This window comes from Homo sapiens, chromosome 3, assembly GCF_000001405.40.
Source record: "Homo sapiens chromosome 3, GRCh38.p14 Primary Assembly".
Classification (NCBI taxonomy): Eukaryota; Metazoa; Chordata; class Mammalia; order Primates; family Hominidae; genus Homo; species Homo sapiens.
In genome coordinates this window covers 151,631,204-151,653,935 of record NC_000003.12, presented here as the reverse complement: position 1 = coordinate 151,653,935, position 22,732 = coordinate 151,631,204, and the positions used below count along the sequence as shown (strand labels likewise).

At 38.5% G+C, this 22,732-nt stretch overlaps 1 long non-coding RNA gene across 1 annotated transcript in view; it reads right to left on the bottom strand.

The window, feature by feature from the left end:
* The window catches only part of LINC02066 (long intergenic non-protein coding RNA 2066), a 105,814-nt gene that overhangs the window by 4,035 nt on the left and 79,047 nt on the right, over positions 1-22,732 (bottom strand). The window contains exons 2-4 of the long non-coding RNA NR_183765.1: positions 17,465-17,552; positions 16,664-16,794; positions 11,061-11,229 (exon numbers count right to left, since the gene is read on the bottom strand). This is a non-coding gene — a long non-coding RNA (long intergenic non-protein coding RNA 2066). The remainder of the gene's footprint in view (positions 1-11,060; positions 11,230-16,663; positions 16,795-17,464; positions 17,553-22,732) is intronic.

The window sequence follows — 22,732 nt, the reverse complement described above, 5'->3', positions numbered from 1 at the left end:
GAAAGCTAATTTTAAAGATAACAATTAACTCGTGAAAAATAACCTGCTAAATCAGATAACAGGCAGTGCTTTTTAAGATGAAATTTCCTTGGCCGGGCGCGGTGGCTCACGCCTGTAATCCCAGCACTTTAGGAGGCCGAGGCGGGCGGATCACAAGGTCAGGAGATCCAGACCATCCTGTCTAACACGGTGAAACCCCGTCTCTACTAAAAATACAAAAAAAAAAATTAGCTGGGCGTGGTGGCGGGCACTTGTAATCCCAGCTACTCTAGAGGCTGAGGCAGGCGAATGGCGTGAACCCGGGAGGCGGAGGTTGCAGTGAGCAGAGATCGCGCCACTGCACTCCAGCCTGGGCGACACAGCGACGAGATTCCGTCTCAAAAAAAAAAAAAAGACATTTCCTTAACTAATATTTATGTTTGATCTGCCAGTTGAGTAAATGTATACACATTTTTCCCAAGTTAATCTTTACAAGTTTATGCTCAAAGTGACCTTAAATTTATAATTTTGAAAACATCAGGAAGTAAACTCTATTCTTCAAATATGATCACTAAAGATATGTGCATAATTCTTAGGCATAAGTCCAAAAGTTATTACAAAAATTCAAAATATTATTCTAGGCAAAATTTCATTTCTGGGCAATCACATGCAATTTAAGTGAAATCAAGTCCAAATGTCATTGATTCATTTACACTTACATCACATTATTTCCACTTTTAAGAGAGATTTGGTAATTTAGAAACTTTAAGTCTCTTTCATGAGCTTGTATTTTTCTCTTAGAATTGTTATATCATTTCAAAGTAACACTTTACTTGCTATCTCCTAGTTATGAAGAATTTGATTTAGAGCTGAGAAACTCCCTCTCTAAGCATAACTTTCATTATTCAATCTTATTTACTTCAATGGGAAAGCCAAGTCAAAGATTAAAGTAAAAAAAAGTAGAAGTGCTACTAGCTACATTGGTATATGTGTATTATTATCATTATTATTATTAGGAGATGGAGTCTCACTCTGTCGCCCAGGCTGGAGTGCAGTGGTGCAATCTGGGCTCACTGCAACGTCCGCCTCCAGAGTTCAAGCCATTCTCCTGCCTCAGCCTCCCAAGTAGCTGGGATTACAGACACATGCCACCACACCCAGGGTTTCGCTATGTTGGCCAAGCTGGTCTCAAACTGCTGACCTCAGGTGATCCACCCACCTCAACCTCCCAAAGTGCTGGGATTACAGGTGTGGGTGACTACAGCCAGTCAATGTATATTATTAAAAATAAATATGGCTGGGCATAGTGACTCATACATATAATCCCCACACACAGGAGGACTGCTTGAGCCCAGGAGTTCAAGACCAGCTGGGCAACACAGCAAGACCCTATCTGCACAAAAAGGAAAAAAAGGATAAATATATAGCAACTGCATTTTAGGCAGAACCTCTCAAAATTTGAGACACAGCCTGTTTCCTTTTTTTGAGTCTGCCAAAATTTTGAAACATGAAGACCTGCCCAAACAAGTCTATGAAAACTGAATTATATACAAATGTTTAAATCTAACACCAAATTTTTAATATAATTTTGCTATTCCCAAGATGATTAGAAGATTTATAAAAATATTAATTCACCATATTAGAAGGGTATATTGTCCACTATGAACACAAGGATGATGAAAGCCGTCTTCTCTCACACTGTTAGATTATCCTTAGAATTGCATATAAAACTTAATGATACATGCAAAACTTACAGACACAGCACTAGATTTTAACCTAGGATGCCTGGGTCCAAGGCTGTTGTACTCTTCAATCAGAGTGGACACAGAAGACTTTCAGACACTGAAGTTCTCTGATCAACATTGATATTGAAAATCTTTCTAAGACTCTCTTAATTATCTAGTCTCGTACCTGGAAGAACAATAGATATTACAGGGTCCATTCACCATGTTGGCCAGGCTGGTCTTGAACTCCTGACCTCAGGTTTTCTGCCTGCCTCAGCCTCCCAAAGTGCTGGGATTACAGGCGTGAGCCATCGCGCCCAGCCATGAGTGACCATTTTAATTGCACAATAAAAGTTTGAGGCATATGGCACCTTGACTTTGCTACTCAAAGTGTGGTCCTCAAACTAGTAGGATAGGCATTGCCTAGTAGAAATCCAGATTACAGAGCATCCCAGATCTGCTGAATCAGATTCTACATTTAAACAAGATCCCAGATAATTCAGGTAAGTCATAAGCACGTTGAAGTCGAAAAATTCTACACTAGATAGATACCCTTTCACTTTGTTTAATGGGTAGATGGACAGAATCATATAGATAACAAACTAAGGAATATTTTAGTCACAAACGTTCACAGCAATGTGATCAGCATTTACTTCTTTCCATAAGCTGCAGTTTGGATTAGACTATTAAACATTTCACAATAAATAATTATTTGAGATACTAAATCTATGTATTAAAAACTATAGAAAAGTGTTCTATATATTGAGAGTCTAGGGTAAGGTTAACATATGCTAAATGTTACAAGAAATATAAAAGAAAAATGAAAGCGTTATACCTTCAAAAATATGATTATCTTCATCAGAAAGTTGGAAATACCCAGAGAACACCATTTAGTAAGTTATTATATTTATACGTGTGTGTGCGTGTATGTGTGTGTGTTATCTTCCCATAACGATCGATCCTTTCCTTCTCTCTTCTGAGAATGGCATCCCAAATTTCACCGGGATACTTATTTCTCCTTCACTCTCAGTCCAGCTAGTTCAAGTAAGGCTCCACTCTGGGCTGCTGCTACCAGTCTAGACTTAGTATTGGCTAAAAGACCAACACATGATCTAAGTTAATTCAGTCAAAACAAGTCCCATTCATAAGTTCCCAGGAAGGAATCTTTCTTCTCAAGTTTATTTGAACATAGCACCAAATGAGCTTCAAACTGCTGAAGACCAACACACAGAGGGAGATAGTAAAAAATATTTCCCAACAGCAATACTTCACAGCAGCAATTTGATTAATAACTACGATCAACTTTATGAGAACTTAAAAATAAGACTTTGGACGTATTTTGGGCATAATTATTATTTTGCTATATGTTTACAACTGTGAAGGAGTTACATCTTTTGTGTTTTCATATTTATTTCCTTTTTCCCTGGTTTGTCTCTGGCAACCCAGGACTTGTTCTTTTTTATTCTATCATCTTATTCTTACTTTTTTTTAGTTCACATAGAAGCAAAAACATAGACTTCAAAAAGAAACTAAGAAATTTCAGAAGCATACTAACAGTGCGAGTTTTTAAGAATACATAAACAACTGGGACTATATGAGAGGAAAAAGGAGGTAGCAGAATGACCCAAAAAGAAAAGAAAAAAAAAATCAACAACGACAAAAACAACCAGAAAGATAACAAGGAAAATGTTTTTCCCCAAGAACAATGAGTGAAGTGCAAGTGGTGTCAGGGCTGAAATTTCTATCAACCACCAACCCTCAGTGAGATATCCATTGACCTGAAATCTCTAGTGCCAGGAGGAGTAGAGAGAATGGGCAGTCCCACCAACCTGCTAAAATCCATATTGGGATTCTCCAAAGAAAAAGAACCAATTGTGTGTGTGTGTGTGTGTGTGTGTGTGTGTGTGTGTGTCTGCAGAGTAAGAGAGAGAGAGACTGATGGATTAATTTTAAGGAATTAGTTCCTGTAATTGTAGGGGCTGGCAATTCAAAATTTGTGGGACAGGCCAGCAGGCCGGAGACCCAGGGAAGAGCTGGTGTTACAATCTTGAGTCTGAAGGTTGTCTGAGGCAGAAATTCCCTCTTCTTCAGGACACCTCAATCTATTTTCCTCTTAAAGCCTTCAATTGATTAGATGAGGCTCAGTCACGTTACGAAAGATAATCTGCTTTACTCAAAGTCTACCAATTTAAATGTTAATCTCATCTGAATAATATACCTTCACAGCAACATCTAGACTGATGTTTGACCAAGTATCTGGGTATCATGGCCTAGCCAAGCTGGCATACAATTAACCATCACAAGTTCATTCTGTCAATTTGGTAGTCAGACACATCTTAAAATCCATATCTCTGAAAAAAGACTGAAAGACTAGAAAGGCTTCAATATTTTTGGCTTGAACAACACTGGGTAAGTGGGAAATACTGGAAGGGGTAAGCTGCTAGAGTGGTGCTACTGGGTGGAGTAGCAGAAAGGAGGAAAATACCTGTTTCAGACATGTTGAATTTGAGATACTTAATAGAATGGATATGCTAGATAGGGAACAGAATGCACATGTCTAGAGTTCAGGTGAAAGATCAGAGTAGAAAATGTTAAGTTTAGAATTCATTGATATATGGATAATTACATGAAGTCATGAGATAAATGTCTGACAGAGAGAGAGAAGGCTCCTAGGACCTGTTTTGGGCAGGTCCAACATTTAAAGAATAAACAGATGAAGAGGACCCAGTATAGGGGATGAGAGGGAGTGGCAGGAAGGGGAGCCAGGAGAGGGTGGGGTCCCAAAAGCCAAGAAAACAACATGATTCATCAAGAAGGGACTAGTTGACTGATTCATTTATAACTGACAACATGGAGAAAATTGGTCGTGGAATTACTCTGGATTTTTTTCAAATTAATATACTACATTCTTGCAAAAAGAGAAGAAACCAAGATAGTTCATGAACCTTATCTTTTCTTAGGTGTTATAAACCTCAGGAAAAGAGTCAGTGTGTTACATTTTCTTACCTTTGCCTATACCAAATTAGCTTCCCTGATAATTGTGATGATCGCTTACAGGGAGCCTTTACTGCTTACAAGAATAAAAGAAGAAATACTGGAAAATGTGGAAAGGTGCTCTACACACACATAGAAATGTCCTGCCCTTTCTGAAGAGAATGAATTGCAGGTTCCCAAAGGCTCTAAAGAATAGCACTTGTTGATTTGACTCTCAGCTTGGACCTTATGGGTGTTTGGAAATGTCGCTGATTTTTGTACGTTGACTTTGTATCCTGAAACCTTACTGAAGTTGTTTATCAGCTCTAGGAGCTTTCCTCACAGCACTATTTACAATAACTAAGATATGGAATCAACGAAGATGCCCACCAATGGTGGACTGGATAAAGAAAATGTTGTACATATTCATCAATAGTACACAGCCATTAAAAAAGAATGAAATCTTGCATCCTTTGCAGCAACGTGGATGCAGCTGGAGGCCATTATCCTAAGCAAATTAATTCAGGAACAGAAAACCAAATACTGAATGTTCTCACTCATAAGCGGGAGCTAAACATTGAAAACAAAGATGGGAACAAGGGCCAGTAGGGACTACCTTAGGTGGGGAGGGTGTGAGGGGAGCATGGGTTAGAAGGCCACCTATCGGTTACTACACTAAGCAATAAATTATGGTCCAAGAAAAATTTCCAGAAAAAAAAATCATCTGAATCTACACGTTGAAAAGTTTCTCCTGGTACCTGGCAAAAATTAACCCAAAATGATTAACTCTTTGACATTATTTTAGTAAAATTATTATATTTCAAAAATAAAGACAAGACTCTCAAGACCACCAAGCAAAAATCTAAAATAACTTAAAAAGTCAAAAGAATTAGAATGCCATTACACTTTTCAAAACCAAATACCAAACAAGACAACTATGAATCAATCTTTATAAAAATACTCAATGAAAGAAAATGTGAAACAAGGATTTTATGTCCAATCAAGTTGTTCTTCAAATAGCAAGAATAGTAGAAATATTTTCAACATACAAGAACATAGGAGATTCTACACATGGCATCCCTTCTTGAGGAATTTGCTAGAGCATGAACTTCACATAAGTGATGACTGGGAAAGCTCTACTAGAAGAACTGATAATGAGCTTTTTTTTTTTTTTTTTTTTTAGACAGAATCTTGCTCTATTGCCCAGGTTGGAGTGTAGTGGCACAATCATAGCTCACTGCAGCCTTGAACTCCTGGGCTCAAGGGATCCTCCCACCTCAGTCTCCCAAGTAGCTGGGACTACAGGCATAAGCCACCAAGCCTGGTTAATTAAAAAACATTTTTGTAGAGACAGGTTCTTGCTATGTTGCCAAGGCTGGTCTCAAACTCCTGGCCTCAAGCAATCCTCCCTCTTTAGCCTCCCAAAGTACTAGCCTTACAGGCATGAACCACCACACCCAGCTGCATTTTAAAATATATAAATGTACACATAAGACTGAAAAAAATGTAGGATAAGGGTAGAAAATTAAGGTATAAATATTATATCCTGTGAAAAGTAGAAATGAAGCAACTAAAAAACAACCAAGTACAACAACTAAGGAAAGCAAAAAATAGGAAAAGCTTGGTGCTATATAAGCAACATATGCGCACTAAAGGATACTGGGGAAAAAAATGGTATCAACCAGATAGTTAAAGGGCAGATAAGAAAATAGACTAAAGACACTTATAAAAATAATAAATACAAAGGTAACCACTAGAATAAAAACACAAACCTTCCTAGACTGTACAAATAATAAATAGCACAAAGAATGTACATCTCATACAGAAAAAAACAAATACAAAATACACATAATTACAAAGTATCAGGACAAAGCATATTAGTTATATCGATAAATGTGAATATGCTCAACTTCCCATTTAAAGAAATCAATTTTCAATTTGGTTAACAAAACAAGACCCAAATATACGCATTAAAGAAAAGGCAATTTGAAAGCAAAGTAATTCAAAGAGGTTAAAACTAAAAGAATGGATACTTTACCCTATTTCTTTCATTCAGTATAAATTAAAATTCTGAATGTTTTGTTTTGTTTTGTTTTGTTTGTTTGTTTGTTTTTTGAGATGGAGTCTTGCTCTGTCGCCAGGCTGGAGTGCAGTGGCACAGTCTTGGCTCACTGCAACCTCTGCCTCCCTCATTCAAGTGATTCTCCTGCCTCAGCCTCCCTAGTAGCTGTGACTACAGGCATGTGCCACCACGCCTGGCTAATTTTTTGTATTTTTAGTAATCACAGGGTTTCACCATGTTGGCCCAGATGGTCTCAATCTCTTGACCTCATGATCTACCTGCCTCAGCCTCCCAAAGTGCTGGGATTACAGGCGTGAGCCACCATGCCTGGCCAAAAAATTCTGAATGCTATATGTAAAATGAACATAATAAAGGTGGTAAAGAAGGCAGCAGACCAGCTAGGGAGCTAAAGACCTGAGGAACAACATGGTGGTGAGTCCCCTGAGTTTTCTTTTTGTCTCATATATCCCACACTTGGATCTGAAAAAGCCAGCAATGTAGAAAAGTCAAGAGGTACCAACAGAGCAAACAAACTGTGGTCCACACCTATCCATGGCCAAGTGGGGGGCCTAGACTTTCATCTTCATGAGACTTCAACTCAACAGAAAAGCTGAAAAACTATTTCAAAAAATAAAAGAATTAAGTATGGTGGCAGGATACAAAATAACTATACACAAATCAATGGACCTTATATTTCAAACAAGAAAGTGTGAAAATTAGAATTAAATAGACTATAAAATTTATATTACATTATGATATAAAATATCAAGGAATAAATTGAAGAAATATTTGTAGAAAACTTTACAGTGCTACCGAGAGACCAAAAGCAGACTTGAACACATAGAAAGTTCAGAGGAAAATAAGAAAGATGCTAATGCCAGGGTTGTGAGAGGACTCCAACAGCCACGACTTCAGGGGGCATACAGGAATTAGTGAGATTGAGGTAAGATCCAGAGGAGGTGAGTGGGGCTTCCCAAAATGTTTGAGGCTATGAATCTTGCTAATGATGAACCATCAATTCCAAAGAGCAAAGTGTAAAGACTTCAGGGTTGGGAAGGTGGACAATAGAGAATAGGGGATCTGCAGAGCTTGGCACGGTGTGAAAATAAAGACTGACCCTGGTATCTGGTGCTTCTTGTGATAACTGACAAAAACAATAATAAGAGGCATAATGAGATTAGTCTTAGTGGACTCAAGGCAGATAGTTTTGGAGACTCTGTGAACAGAGGGAATAGGGACTAGTTGGTGGATATATCAGGCTCTCTCTTCACCCCTGACAATGGATGATTTCTCAGGCCAAAATACCTTGGAATCATTTATTTTTTGGTTTATCAAACTCCTCTTATAGCCTTTATCCAAATTCAAACATATATTATGGACTGAGAGAAGATTTTTGCAATACACATAGCATGCAACAAGAATAGTATTGGAAATACATATGGAACTCCTAATATTCTTTAAGACAGTCTACAAAAAGGAGACAAAACTGAAATGCTAATAAACATATGCAAATTTGTACAAATATGTATAAAATCATTATTAATCAGATAAATGAGAAATAAAATAACCAGACACTTTGGCTTAGCAATAGATAAGCCAAAATTTTAAAATGTGATAACAGCAAGTATAGAGAGGTAACTGGGAAACAGGAACTCTCAGCCACTTCTGTGACAATGTTTTTTATGATATCTAGTACTCTTGACACCGAATGTAGTCTGAAACCCAAAAAATCCACTTCTCAGTATAAATCTTAGAAATTTTCTTGTCTCTATAAGAAGACATGTATGGGATATCTATGTGGTCAAGTTCATAATAAACAAAAACTAGAAACAAAGTAAATGTCTAACTGAGAATGAATGACAAAATCAGTTATGTTACATGACTATAACAGAACACTAAATAATAGAGAAAACAAATGAACTGATTATGTGTTGAAATTATGGACTGTTGAGAGTGAAAACACAAGTATCAAAGAAGATGTGTATAATGTAATACTATCTTTCTACAGCTTACAAATGCAAAACAAAACAAAAGACCTTGTGTATTCTTTATGGGCACATGCATATGAGTGTAAAAGTATAAAAACATGGACTAGAGGGATATACACCAACTTCAAGACAGTGCCAGTCTCTGGGGATGGAGGGAGGAAAATGGGATAGGAAAGGTCATACTGAATCTTTATTGTATTTAAGCAGAACAACCTGCAACAAATACAGTACAATGATATTTTTTGTACATTCTGAGAGGTAAGCACTTAAGTGTCTGTTATATAGTCCTAGATACTTTCTGTATCTAGGATTATTTCACTTTTTAAATTTTAGTTTCTATTTGGATTTAAGAAAGAGTAGGAATCTACAAAAAATATTTTGTATGTCGTCTCTTAAAAGCAGATATTTTGGCATTCATCTTAATATCCCAAGTGCCTTTAAACAGGCTATTCAATTAATATTATGTACCTAGGTAAATAGTAAATGAAGAAATGAATGAATGAATCCCACTTTTAAATGCCTCTGCTTTTCCACATATATCAAAAAACATAAAAGAAATGAAGAACAATTAATATATATAGGGTAATATACATATAATACAACTCAATCTTCATTTTTGCTTTTTGTCAATGCTATTTGTGACTGGGCCTTTAATGCTCTGGAGTTTTTGCCTACTTGTGCCTCTGTCCACCTAGTGAACTTGACTTTTGCCCTACATCTGTGGATGGGACAGATGTCTCCCATTAAGGGGATAGCCAGTTTCAGATCCTGTTCTCCAAACCTGCCTTGATGTCTTCCACATTCCAAAATGATACGCAAAATTATATGAAGTCTCTTAATGGCTTTAAATTTTTATTTCCCATTTGTTTTTAAAGTTGTTGAAACAATACCATTATTACTAGACTACTTGTTAAAAGGGGGGAGAAAAAACAGAAAAGAAATAAATGCTAATTCTTAACATATGTTTAAAAACCATTGCCAGTAAATTTTTAAGAGTTATTTGCTTATGTAAGGGAAATTTTACCCAAGCTACTGCAAAGAATTTGCCAATTATATTGCATAATAATATTACCAAAAATTGGGAATTAAATACTGATTTTTCTGGGCATGTGAGATTTCTCAAGGAGGTAGACACAAAATAATGCCTCTTCAGGAAAGGTTGTATTAAAAGATATTTTTATAGTTCTCAAAAATATCAAAGTCCACTTTGGGAGCCCAAGGTGGGTGGATCACGATGTCAGGAGTTCAAGACCAGCCTGGCCAAGATGGTGAAACCCCATCTCTACTAAAAATACAAAAATTAGCCAGGCATGGTGTTGGGTGCCTGTAATCCCAGCTACTCAGGAGGCTGAGGCAGAGAATTGCTTGAACCCAGGAGGTAGAGGTTGCAGTGAGCTGAGATCGTGCCACTGCACTCCAGTCTGGGTGACAGAGCGAGACTCTGTCTCAAAAAAAAAAAAAATCAAAGTCATATTTTCCATCTGATAAAATAAAGTACCTCTTGAATTTGAAAATTATGCTATATTTGTATTATCTGCTCAACTACAAGATGACTTTGGGATTATATCTTTATAAAAAGAAAACTGATTTATACCATTAAATGCCCTATTTTTTATCTTTCCGATATTCTTTAACTAGGATAGGGTTTAGGCACTAATCTTCTCCTGAGTCCTACATTTAGTTCACTTTTCTTTTTACTCCGGTTTCCTCATCAATATCATTTATTCATGTCTTTTAACCACTGGTTACGTACATAGGATTTTGACGCCAGTATTTCTAGCCCACTTCACTCCAACAATCTGACTTGTCTAACGGCTTACTGGATGTATCACAAATACTGTAAACTCAGTAGGTCCCCCAAACATTTAATTTACCCATAATTTACTTCCTAATCTATTTTCTCTGTCTTGGTTTTTTTTTTTTTTTTTTTTTTTTGAGGCTGAGTCTCGCTCTATTGCCCAGTCTGGAGTGCAGTGGTGTAATCTCAGCTCACTGCAACCTCCGCCTCCTGAGTTCAAGCGATTCTTCTGCCTCAGCCTCCCAAGTAGCTGGAATTACAGGCGCCAACCACCATGCCTGGCTAATTTTTGTATTTTTAGTAGATAAGCAGTTACATCATCTTGACCAGGCTGGTCTTGAACTCCTGATCTCAAGTGATCAAGTGATCTGCCCGTCTCGGCCTCCCAAAGTGCTGGGACTACAGGTGTGAGCTACCACACCTGGCCTGTCTTGATTTTTAATACCTTATCTATTATACCTTAAGTCCAAAATTCTTTCCTTTCCCTTTCCAAAATCCTGTTGATTCTACCTCTAATTGTATGCCAAACAACTTACCTTCATTTCAACTGTCCCTTGGTCATAATTCTCTCTCACTTGACTTGAAATGTTCCCCAAATGAGCTCTATGTCTTTTACTTCTCCCCATTTTCAGGATTATGATCAACACTGCTAAAGGATTATCCTTGGCTTCTGGTTTGAATAAGTACATGGAGGTTGGTGCTTTCCTGATATGGAAAAGAGTAAAACACAAAAGGGTAGAAGAACAGTAAGAATTTTAAGATGCTTTGATATAAACTGGCAAAGATGCAGCCTAGGCATTTTGGTATACAAGCTAATAGTTTATTGATGACTCACCGTATCCCAGATCTAAGAGCTTTATATTATTATGGACTGAATGTTTCCCCCCCAATGAAAAATTTATATGTTGAAATCCCAACTCCCAATGTGATGGCACGAGAAGGTGAGACCTTTGGGAGGTGATTAAGTGTTGAGGATGGAGCCCTCGTGAATGAGATTAGTGTGCCCTTAAAAAAAGAGACATGAGAGTTTGCCCTCATTGTTTGCTCTCCACCATGTGAGGATACAACAAGAAGACAGCCCTCTGCAAAGTGTCAAGTAATGAGTTGGAGTTTTGATTATTTTTCACATGAAAAGCTGTATGTCTATCATAAATCCAGTGATCATATTTTCCAAATTATGGTTGAACTTATGGGGACAACTGAGTTGAAGAGTATTCCAAAAACTTCAGAGCACTGAGTGGCCATTGTCACATAGGAAATAATGTATTGAGCTCCTTAAAGGAAGGGCTCTGCATTTCACCTTTCATTTCTATTTCCTGGAATGCACTCAAAAAGGGTTAAATATATTAAACATAGCATAGAAAAATTTTTTGATGATAAGTAATTTTGAGGAAAAGATATGATTTTACTCTTATTTTCAATGTCACTAGGTTTGCTAAGTTTGCAGTCTCAGAGTTAGACTAGTCTTACAAAGTTTTCCTCATTTGTTTTTTCCCCATCAAATAAAATCAACCTTCAGTTTTGATAATGCAGCATGAAACACTGGGTTTAGGTCTCATTAGTTACAGAGCAGAGTTGAGCCTTTGAAAGCTCGAAAGAGAATTACTACTACATCATGCAGTAATAAATGTGCAGTAGTAGTTGACATTTAGGAAGCTAGTGTTTAGACCTGTAAAATTCAGACTTCTAAGGGACAAATTCGATTTTTAAATTATAACAACTTAATTAAATCCAAGATGTATATTCAGCTACATAGAAAGAAGGCTTTTTTACAAAAAATTTATTTGGCAATCACAAAGAAACAAGTAGAAATTATCACAATCTTCTTTAAATGGAAATTTTAAGTCTCTAAAAGAGAGAGAATGCCATCTCTTAACTTTCTTAAATACAGAAAAATTTTACTGATTTTCCACAAAATGTTTTCATTAGGGTAAAGAGAAACTTGGATTTCTCATCTGTCTTTTTTTTTAAGTGGTGGGGAAAATGTTTAATGTAAGACCACTAAAGGCCAGGCGCAGTGGCTCCCGCCTATAATTCCAGCACTTCAGGAGGCTGAGGCAGGTAGATCACCTGAGGTCAGGAGTGCGAGACCAGCCTGGCCAACATGGTGAAACCCCATCTCTACTAACAATACAAAAATTAGCAGGGCGTGGTGGCGGGTGCCTGTAATCCCAGCTACTTGGGAGGCTGAGGCAGGAGAATCACTAGAACACAGGAGGCAGAGGTTGCAGTGAGCCAAGATCATGCCATTGCACTCTAGCCTGGGGGACAAGAGCAAGACTTCATCTCAAAGAAAAAAAAAAAACACTAAAAATTTTTCAAAACTCTCCACTGATGTTTAAATAATTTTAAACTGTCATTTATATTTTCATAAAATTTTATGCCCTTTTTTTCCTATGGGAAAAAGGAAGTGGCAGAATGATGACAGTGATGAAAGGAAATAGATGGAAGCTGTGCTTAGTTGATCCCCAGATTGTCAGGTTGAGGTGTGAGCCCAGAGTCCTTAAGAAGCCAATCCCTGTGTGGGTTCCCAATACACTACCTGTGCCCAAGAGAAGAGAAAGAATAAATATTCATGAGGAAATAGAGAAATGTGTAATTGATATTTTTCCCCAAAGTAACAATTCTAGTGAACACAGTAAATAAAGGTGGTTTTTCTCTACTCTTTTCCTTGGGGCCCACTGAAAACATCAAAATAATTTTTTTTTATAGGGGAGGGAACACCATCTTCAGTAATTTAGAGAAATGACCATGTTTTCTATGTCTGTCTTGGGACACACACCTGCTGAATAGTGAAGGACCACGAAAGAAAATAGATGCTACATCAGACTGGAAGAAAGATACATTTCTCTCCCAAAAGGAGCGTCATGGCCCCATATGGCATATCCAACAATTCTTTGATTAGGAAAATAAGCTATAAGGGCATGGGCAAGCCATGAAGACAAAAAGAGTCACAGATTGACATTGCAAAATGGTGGAACAGAGCCAAAGAAGCAACCTTGCTGACCCGCCATTTTGTTTTTTTTCTCAGTGGGCCTCTCAGCTGACGAAGATGAGCAGAGGGAAAGCAGGGTGGGGTGGAGTGGGAAAAAGGGGAGAGAATGGACAGCCTGTGCCTTAGAAAGGTTTTGTTGTGTACATACACCAACCTCCTAAATAGGGGGCTACTCCCAGCATAAAGGAAGTAAAACATTTGGTGAGAGTATTTGCAACTACACATCTGAGTATTAAACTAAGAACTATTTTTATAATTTTTATTAAGTACATAAAAAGACTTAGTTTAGAATTAACTGCTGTAATTGAGAACTGGCTGACTTACAAGTAGCCTCTGGAGAATGCTGCTTCTCAAGGCTGTTAAGTGATATTTTTCTGATGTAAGCAAGTTTAGGGGTAACATGGAAGGAGCCATAAACAAGGTGACTTAATCATCCTGGTTTTCCCAGGATTCCCCAGGTTTTAGCACTGAGAGTTCTGCATCCTGGAAAACTCCTCAATTCTGGGAAAATGAGAATGGTTGGTCACCTAGGGAAGGAACCACAATTCCTCCAAGATTCCTCAGTGAAGGGGGTCCTAAAGATAGGATTCTAACTATCGTTTGGGCACTGCATCTGGAAAACAATCAAGAATACAGGTTGCGGAGAGTTGAGGTGTGGGTAAATGATCAGAAACACCAAGGTGGCAGTAATCTGTAACCTTACTGAGCCCTTTACCACTGGTAGGCAATTCGGGCCCTGAGAAGCCTCATACCTACAGTAAAATGATTACTTGATTTCTAAGTAGCTTTGTAAGTAGGATCCTGTTGCTCAAAAGAAGCAACAATGACATAAGGAACTAGAGAAGGCTACAGTTCTCTGATCAGGGTCCAGAAAGCCAGCTGTCACATTCCTGTGTGGTAGCAGGGGAAAGTCTGGCAATGAAAACAGTGAGCTTTATTGAATTGTCCAAAAATATCATGGCTCGTGTGACTAATTTTATTGTTCCATTAGCTGCTTTTCTAGAATTCTCCTCTGGAGAAGTATTAGCCATCATTAAATAAAGGAAGTCCTGCTGCTACTCTCCTGTGGCACACGATGTGGAGCAACTCACATGAGTGACTGAAGTCCATGCACCTGTTTATTCACTGTCAAGGGCTCAGCCATAACTGTAAATCACAAATGTGTGATGACACTAATTAACTCACTTGTGTGCTTTCTTCAGCACGTGGCAATCCAGGGAGAAAGGGTTGTTCTGTGGGCCCTGGTTTGAGGGTTGGCGGTAGTTGTGAGAAAGTGCTTGAGGAGTTACTGAGAAGGAGGTTAAAATGATTAACTAGAGAGTTCTGGGTGGATAGAGAAAGACAGGAGAGAGCCAAGAAAATGGGAGTGCAGATAACAATCAAAGCTACAATGAGATGAAAGAGCAAGTAAAGTGGGTCAAAAGTTATGATCAAAGGATGGAATGTCAAAGTTCAAGATTTCAGAGATAAAACAATTACAGTTAATTGAAGGTCCAGAGTATTGGCATAAAAGTGGGTTGCTAAAATGAGGTGAAGAAAATGTCCTTGAAATGAATGACTGAAGGAATTCCTAGAGGGCTGGATAGGTCAATGTGGACACTGAAGTTTGCCCAGAATTATGTCATGAGTTGCAATGAGCCATGGGGAGCCCCATGGGATTGGGAGAGCCCGTTAAGACAGGCCTATCCATGCCACATATCCTCACTGTGGTTCACAGCTCTTATCAGAGCAACCCTTTGTTTTCTATTTGGGGAAGTAACAGACAGATTTGTACAGGGAACCTAAATTTGGGTTCAAATCATATTACAGTAATGTAGTGCTCAGAAAACTGCATTCATATCCTAAATTCTGAAAAAATTACTACAACACAATGCGGAAGCTTTCTTGGCTTTGGGATGATTGAGCAAAGGCCTCAGGGATACCATAGCTGAAGAATTTCTAAGCTGCTTAAATATCAACAAACCTGATCTTGAAGTGAAGCCGGTCACTTCAACTATAGGATAAAAGGCAAGTTTATGGAAGAAATGACTGAATGATCACCGTGAGAACAGCTTGGATGCAAAAGGCAGAATATTTCATGAGCGAGAGAGATTGAGAGAGGGGGAGAGAGAGAGAGAGTGTGTGTGTGTGTGTGTGTGTGTGTGTGTGTGTGTGTGTGTGTGTTGTTCTACCATTGTTAACATGAGCTGGGGAGCTAGGGAGTGGGGAAGGGAAGCAAATTGTCTCTACTTGAACTTTGCTCTCCCAACTTTTTCCCTGACTATGACTGGTTGTCCATATAGCTGACTTCTCCTTAAGTTTTCTACCACTCATCTTGTTTCATGCAATTTGTTCATATTTCCCATTATGCCCTCTATATAAACCTTAACCCAAATTGCAGACATTAAAATGAGGCTTTTTTTCCAGAAACTGAGAATCATTGTAACTACTTTCAAGAAAAATTAATAAGAACAGTAAACATATATATAAACATATATATATATACATATATACACACACACTATGCACCAACCTCTGTTCTAAGTACTTTATATTCATTCATTTACCTAATCCTCACAATAAACTCATGAGATACATATTATAATTATCCTTATTCTATCTATTTGGAAACCAGGCACAGAGAGGTTAAGAAACTTGCCCAGGATGAAGGCTTAATTTGAACCTGGGTAGTCTGGCTCCAGGGCCAGTGTTCTTAACAACTAAACCCGTGGCTTTCCAGGGCTGGTCACCAGGCCAGCAGCAGTACCAGCAGCATTTGGGAGCTTGTTAGAAATGCATAGCCCTGAGCTCCACACCAAGCCTGTGGAATCAGAAACTTTGGAGGTGGTGTTAGGGATTTGTGTGTTTTAATGAGCTCTCCCAGAAGTCTGATGTTGTCTCAAGTTTGAGAAACACAGCAATACACCACATTGCCCAAAGCAGCCACGTAGTAACAAAGCTGGCCTCAGCGTCAAGAGACCACATGGATCATTTCTCTACCCACATTGGGAGCTCAGAATAACTGCTGTTTTAGAATTTCTAGATTGAATTTTTACAATCACGATTTGAATTCTACTAAAAGGAATTTACTTGAGAACCCACAACAGGGTAATGAACATGGCACAAGTTGTCAACATGCTGGTTAGGGTAGAAAAAGTATGCTACCTCTTTGTCCAGGGTTGTTTACACATCTGCCCATTTTCAGCTTCAATTGGAAAGGATGTGGCCAAGAAACTGTTTTGAATCACTGAGTCTGGTCCAAGTTAAAAAGTCATCCAACTTCTTCAGAGTGGCACCTGTAGACACAGCCAAATCTGTGTGGCAGAACATCTGCAACACAACTCCAGGTGACACTCTGCCAGATCATTTAAAATTCTGCATGTCTATTACTATGAAAAAGTGACTCTCCATCATTCTCAAGTTTCAGCAATGCCTTTTTAATCAAATTAAGAGATAAAATGTCATTGCCTCTACCTAAGGTCATACATTTTTTGAATATTCCCATGCTCAAAGAATACACCTACATAAAAAGACTGGTAGGAAGTAAATCAGCAAGTTAAGTGTCTGTCTCTAGAAATAGGGATTATGAAAGTATTTTTTCTTCTTACACTTTTATATCTCATGGCTTGACCTCTGCCCTGAACTCTAAACTCCACCTGAACTGCTAACTCAACACTCATTTAAATGCTTGATATGCAACTGAAACTTAACATGTAAAGAAATAGCAGCTTAATTTCTACCATTCTCCCAATAAAATCCTTCCCCTTTTTTTCATCTCAGTTAAGAAAAAATTCATACAAGTTCTTGAACCAAATCTTGTAGTCAATCTTTATTCTTTTTCGTTCACAAATTATACAAATTATATCTAATTTGTCAGAAATTCTGTTTGACTAACTACATCCAGAAGGGACTATTTTTTACCAACATCACAAAACCACCCTGATCTAAACTACCACCATTTCTCACCTGAATTATTGTAGTTCTTTCCTTGCTGGTCTTCATGTTTCCACCATCTCCCTCTAGGTCTATTCTCCACAGAGTTGCCAGAGTGACCCTTTTAAAACATGAGGCAAATCATGTCATTTTATTGATCAAAATTTTACAATGGCTGTCAAGAACTGTGAAGAGTATGAGATTTATATTACCCTACTTCGAAGTTAATAAATTAGCCTATTAGTGTTTCAGGGATGCTAGCAAAGACAAAAAGACTCCTAGGTCCAACATGAAGGATTTTGTTACTCAGAGCCCAGCAGGCAGCATGAGCATCAGCTGCAAACATCAGTTCTCCATACTCTCCAGGTCCCTTGACAGCAAGGCAATGGGCCAAAATAAATATGTGCATATGCAGTGGGGTACATTATAAGAGAGGGACAATGAGTTCATGGAATGCATCATTTTATAGCAAGCACTAAGCAAGCCTGCTCTTTGTTCTGGAAGAAGGCATCCCTCAAGGTTGCTCATTACAAACACGACTCGGAGAAATGGTCTGGATAAAGAGTGCTCAGGGACTTGCATTCTTGGCATACTTAGCAATGAAGTATGAAGGTGCGTAAGACGTCCATGGAGGACAATCTACTCCAACAATGACTTCCCATGTTAATTAGAATAAAAGCAATGGTCTTTATAATGATCTACAAGGCCCCACACTATCTGCTTTCCTTCACTGCCTTTTCTTTCTATCACTCATCACTCTATTGATCACCACTCTGCTTTAGCCATACTGGCTGCCATGCTGTTCCTCACATATGTGAGTCATGATCCTGCCTCAGAACTCTTGGTGTTACATTCTTCTGCCTGGAATGCTCTTCCTCCAGTTATACTCATAGCATTATAGATTGAACACTTATGTCCCCCCAAAATTAATACATTTAAATCCTAACCCCCAGGGTGATGGATAGTATTAGAAGGTGGGTTTTTGGGGAGGTGATTAGGTTATGAGGGCAGACCCCTCATGACTGAAATTAGTGCCCTTATAAAAGAGATCCCACAAAACTAGCCCTCCCCTTCCACCATGTGAGGACACAGCCAGAGGTGCTCTCTGTGAGGAAACATGTCTTCACCAGACACCAAATCTGCTGGTGCCATAATCATGGGCTTCTCAGCCTCCAGAACTGTGAGAAATAAATCTTTCTGGTTTATAAGCCATTCCGTTTACAGTATTTTTGAAAAAGCAGCCTGAATGAAGACACATGATTTATTCCCTTATTTCCTTCAAGAACGTGTTCAAATGTCACCTTTTCTGTGAGGTCTCTTCTGGCCACTATATTTAAAACTCCTATCTCTAAACCTTCTGGCACTCCATATGCCCCATGCCCTGACTTATTTTTCTGTTTGTACTTATCACCATCTGACATACCATATGAACACCTATGTTATATATATATACACACACACACACACACACATATATACACACACAAACATATACACACACACAGAGGTATATGCATATATGTGTAAATATATATATGATATACTATATTAGATATGTGTATAATTTATTGTATGTCTCTCCTCCAAGAGGACAGGGACTTTATTGGTTTTGTTCACTACTGGATCATCAGTGTCTAAAACCAGTCCTACAGTACATAGCAGGTACTCAAAAAAATACTTGTTGAGGCTGGGTGTGGTGGCTCACACTTGTAAACCCAGCACTTTGGGAGGCCGAGGTGGCCAGATCACCTGAGGTCAGGAGTTTGAGACCAGGCTGGCCAACATGGTGAAACCCCGTCTTCACTAAAAGTACAAAAATTAGCCGGGTGTGGTGGCAGGTGCCTGTAATCCCAGCTACTCAGGATGCTGAGGCAGGAGAATTGCTTGAACCCGGGAGACGGAGGTTGCAGTGAGCCGAGATCTCACCATTGCACTCCAGCCTGGGGAACAAGAGCGAGACTTTGTCTGAAAAAAATATATATACATATATATATATATTTGTTCAATAAGTTGAATGAGTTAATGTTTTTGTATAGTTTTCAAGTTTCCTAAAACAAACATCATTTTTATAATCGGAAACAAATAGTATAAGGTTACTTTTAGTGGCATTACTTTTAATGGCAAAAACCACAATTACTTTTGCACCAACCTAATACTTTCTATATAGAAGAATTTGCCCAAATGCAACAAGTTGTTTATAGACCCAAACAACTCAGGCAGACCCCACCCACGTCCCTGGCTGAGGTATGAGTAGCTAGCAATAGCTAAACTTACTAAGCATTACTATGCTGGACACTTTATAAATTAGCTCATATAATTTTTGCAACTTTGTAAGACATAACCCCCATTTTATCTATAAAGAAACTGAGGTTCAGTTAAATAACTTTTTCAAGATCACAAAGTTTATAACTGGAATTGTGATTATGAATCCAGACAGCAGTACTGCCCTGAGATCTGGGTAAGGAGGGCCCCTGTTTGAGACTTCGTATTTTTGTATGACTTCCTCAGCATTTTCTAAGTACCCTCAGTTGCCTGAACTCAATCAGGTCTACCAATGCTGTCTGGGCATGATGTCCTGATCTTAAACCCCATTTCTTCTCTTCCAAATGCTCTGCAACCCTCTCCTCTGCACAAGATCCTGAAGAGCATCAGAACTCATGCTAATAGGCTCCAGGAGAATGGTTCAGATGCAGGTTCCAGGACAGTGGCCTGACAAGTGGATCACTCCTGCTGACTCTTGCAGTATTTCTTTCATGGGATTATGTGAGATGGGACCATCAGAATGGCTAACTTGGGTGGCTCTTACCCCAGTGAAAAGATAAGTTCTGGGCTCCAAGCTACTGAGGACCATTGCTGGTACTTGGGTTTGAGCCAGATGTGTGGTCCCATGCATCAGCTCTTGCCTATCTGTATCTCAACCCTGATGCCACATACTGTCTATAGCACCTAAGGATGGTGGGAACAGTGATCTCTCAGCTTATGTGTCCCTCACCCACTGGCACTCAAAGCAGTCATTCCACCTATCTTCAGGGTCCATACCCTGCATCCAGCAGTGCTCTGGAGAATCTGTTGCTCTGCAAAGCCAATGGACCTTTCTCATCATTGTCTTCTCTTGGCTGATTGGTACAATGATAGAGGTCTCTCCTGGGTCAGTTTTAATCCATGACAGATGAGAAATGGTCATTTCTTGTGCAAATGGGACTGCTCTTTTTGCTCTGCCCTTGGGCTCTCACATCTTCTCCCCAAGAGCGGCAGTGAATGGAAGGCACAGGTGGGAGCCACATAGAAAGGGATCACATTCTCAGAATCCATCATTACAATTTAACAAGTTAAAGAGAAAACATGGCTGGTTGTTGCATTGCTCTAGTTTATGCTCTAACATTCCAGTCTGTAAACTTAACATGAATAGCAAATGAATTATTGTTCTCCATTTTTTCTGAATACTCTGCATAAAACTTGCATTTGTAGTCATCACAAGTACATATGTGGCACTTAACTCGGCACAATAATAACCTTTGAGTGTCATTGGAAGCCAGTATTCATGGGGTCACAATGAATAATGCAGCATCACGAGTAATGGTGTAACCAGCAATTAAATAAATGATATTAGGAAACTGCAAAATCAAGATAATCTCTGTTGCTTCAACACAAACAGGTTCCAGTGAGCCATGGCATTGTCCGTAACATCATTGCTCTCTTTTCATTGTGATGAGAAAATAAACACGAAGAGATATTTTCCAGAACACAATTGGCAGAGATGGTGCCAGAACACAACAAAAAACTTTCTGAGGCCAACCTTCTATTTAATATCCAAATAAACTATCAGCACAATCTATCCAACTTTTATTTTTGTCATCAGTCACAGTTCTCTACTATATTTGTAAAAGGATGCTTTATCTTGGCATAGCTGCAGCCCATTTCTGTGTTAAGATTTTTACATTACATAGTATTATTGCTATTTTCTCACACTGTGTACCTTCCTGTGCAAATCTCCCTCCCAAACGCTGACAATCAGCAGCTTATCTTCTTGATACCTAGATTCCTACTGGCCAACACCTCTCAATTCCTCTCTCAGCTACTTTTGTTTTCCTTTGTCCTACACTGTTTACCAACCCTTTCTCTTCCTCATTTTCTCCTTCTGCAAATAAAAACCTAAAAAAGAAACAGAAATTCCTTACTTTCTATCCTCCCTAATCTAGTGTTTCTCAATGCATGATCTTCTGATGCTCTTAATTAAAATCACTAGAGGGCTTTTAAAAACACTATACAGGTTCCCAGGCCCCACCTAGATCAACTGAATCATGTCTTTGGGAATATGGCCCGGGTCACCCATGTTTAATCAATCAGGTTGATTCATTCACAGGCTAAAGCTTGAGATCACCAACTTAACCACAAGGAAAAAAGAAAAACAAAACAATAACAACAAAAAAATTGCACCACTGTTGTCAAGCTTCATGATTTATAGAGTCAAGTACAAAAGCATATTGTACAGACTGATGACACAATGTACAACTGTGCTAGATACAGTGTCGTACATATGCTGTGATGTTAGAATATGAGGTACAGGCTTGCACACATTGCCCTTCAACCTGGAACCTCTTTTGCTCACTTATCTCATTTCTATGTCTTTCAAAACCAGATTTCTCCATGAAGCCTTCCCTGGCTCCTCCTGCCTCTCCTTTCAAAAGCCAGGTTCACATGTTGTTCACACCTCTCTTTATATTAATGATCAGACTGTATTTCTCATTGTTTCTTCATGGGGCTGTCTCCTCCTTCAAAGTATGAAGTTCATCAGAGCTATCTGTTTATCTCCAACAATTTATGAATATATGTGTCCCTATGCTATATGGCAAGTGCACAATAAATAGTTGTTGAATTAATGAACTATAAAAAACTAGAAGAACAAGAACCCATCCAAGTGATTTTGCAAAGTTTAAAATGAGACACTATAAATTATCTAGGTGAGTGCTGCATTAGAAATGAAATATATTATTCAAGTTCTACTCTCAGATTTTATTGATTTCCTTATGGAAAACATGTGCTGTGTTCAAAGTCAAAGAAGCTTTAATGCAAGTCAGATCTTCCTTCGTAATCCTTTGGAAATAGCCTTTGACAATGAGGAGAGAGTGAAATGTGACTTGTCACATTATAAATAAGGCTAAAAATACACACTTGATGTCATCTAGTGTTTGGTGTTCCAAGAACCAAAACTAGTCATTGCAACATTTCAGCTTAACATCTGCTCTTTCAACCTGTTCAGCTGGTTGTTTGTAAAACATTCCAGCTTATCTCTTCAAAGTA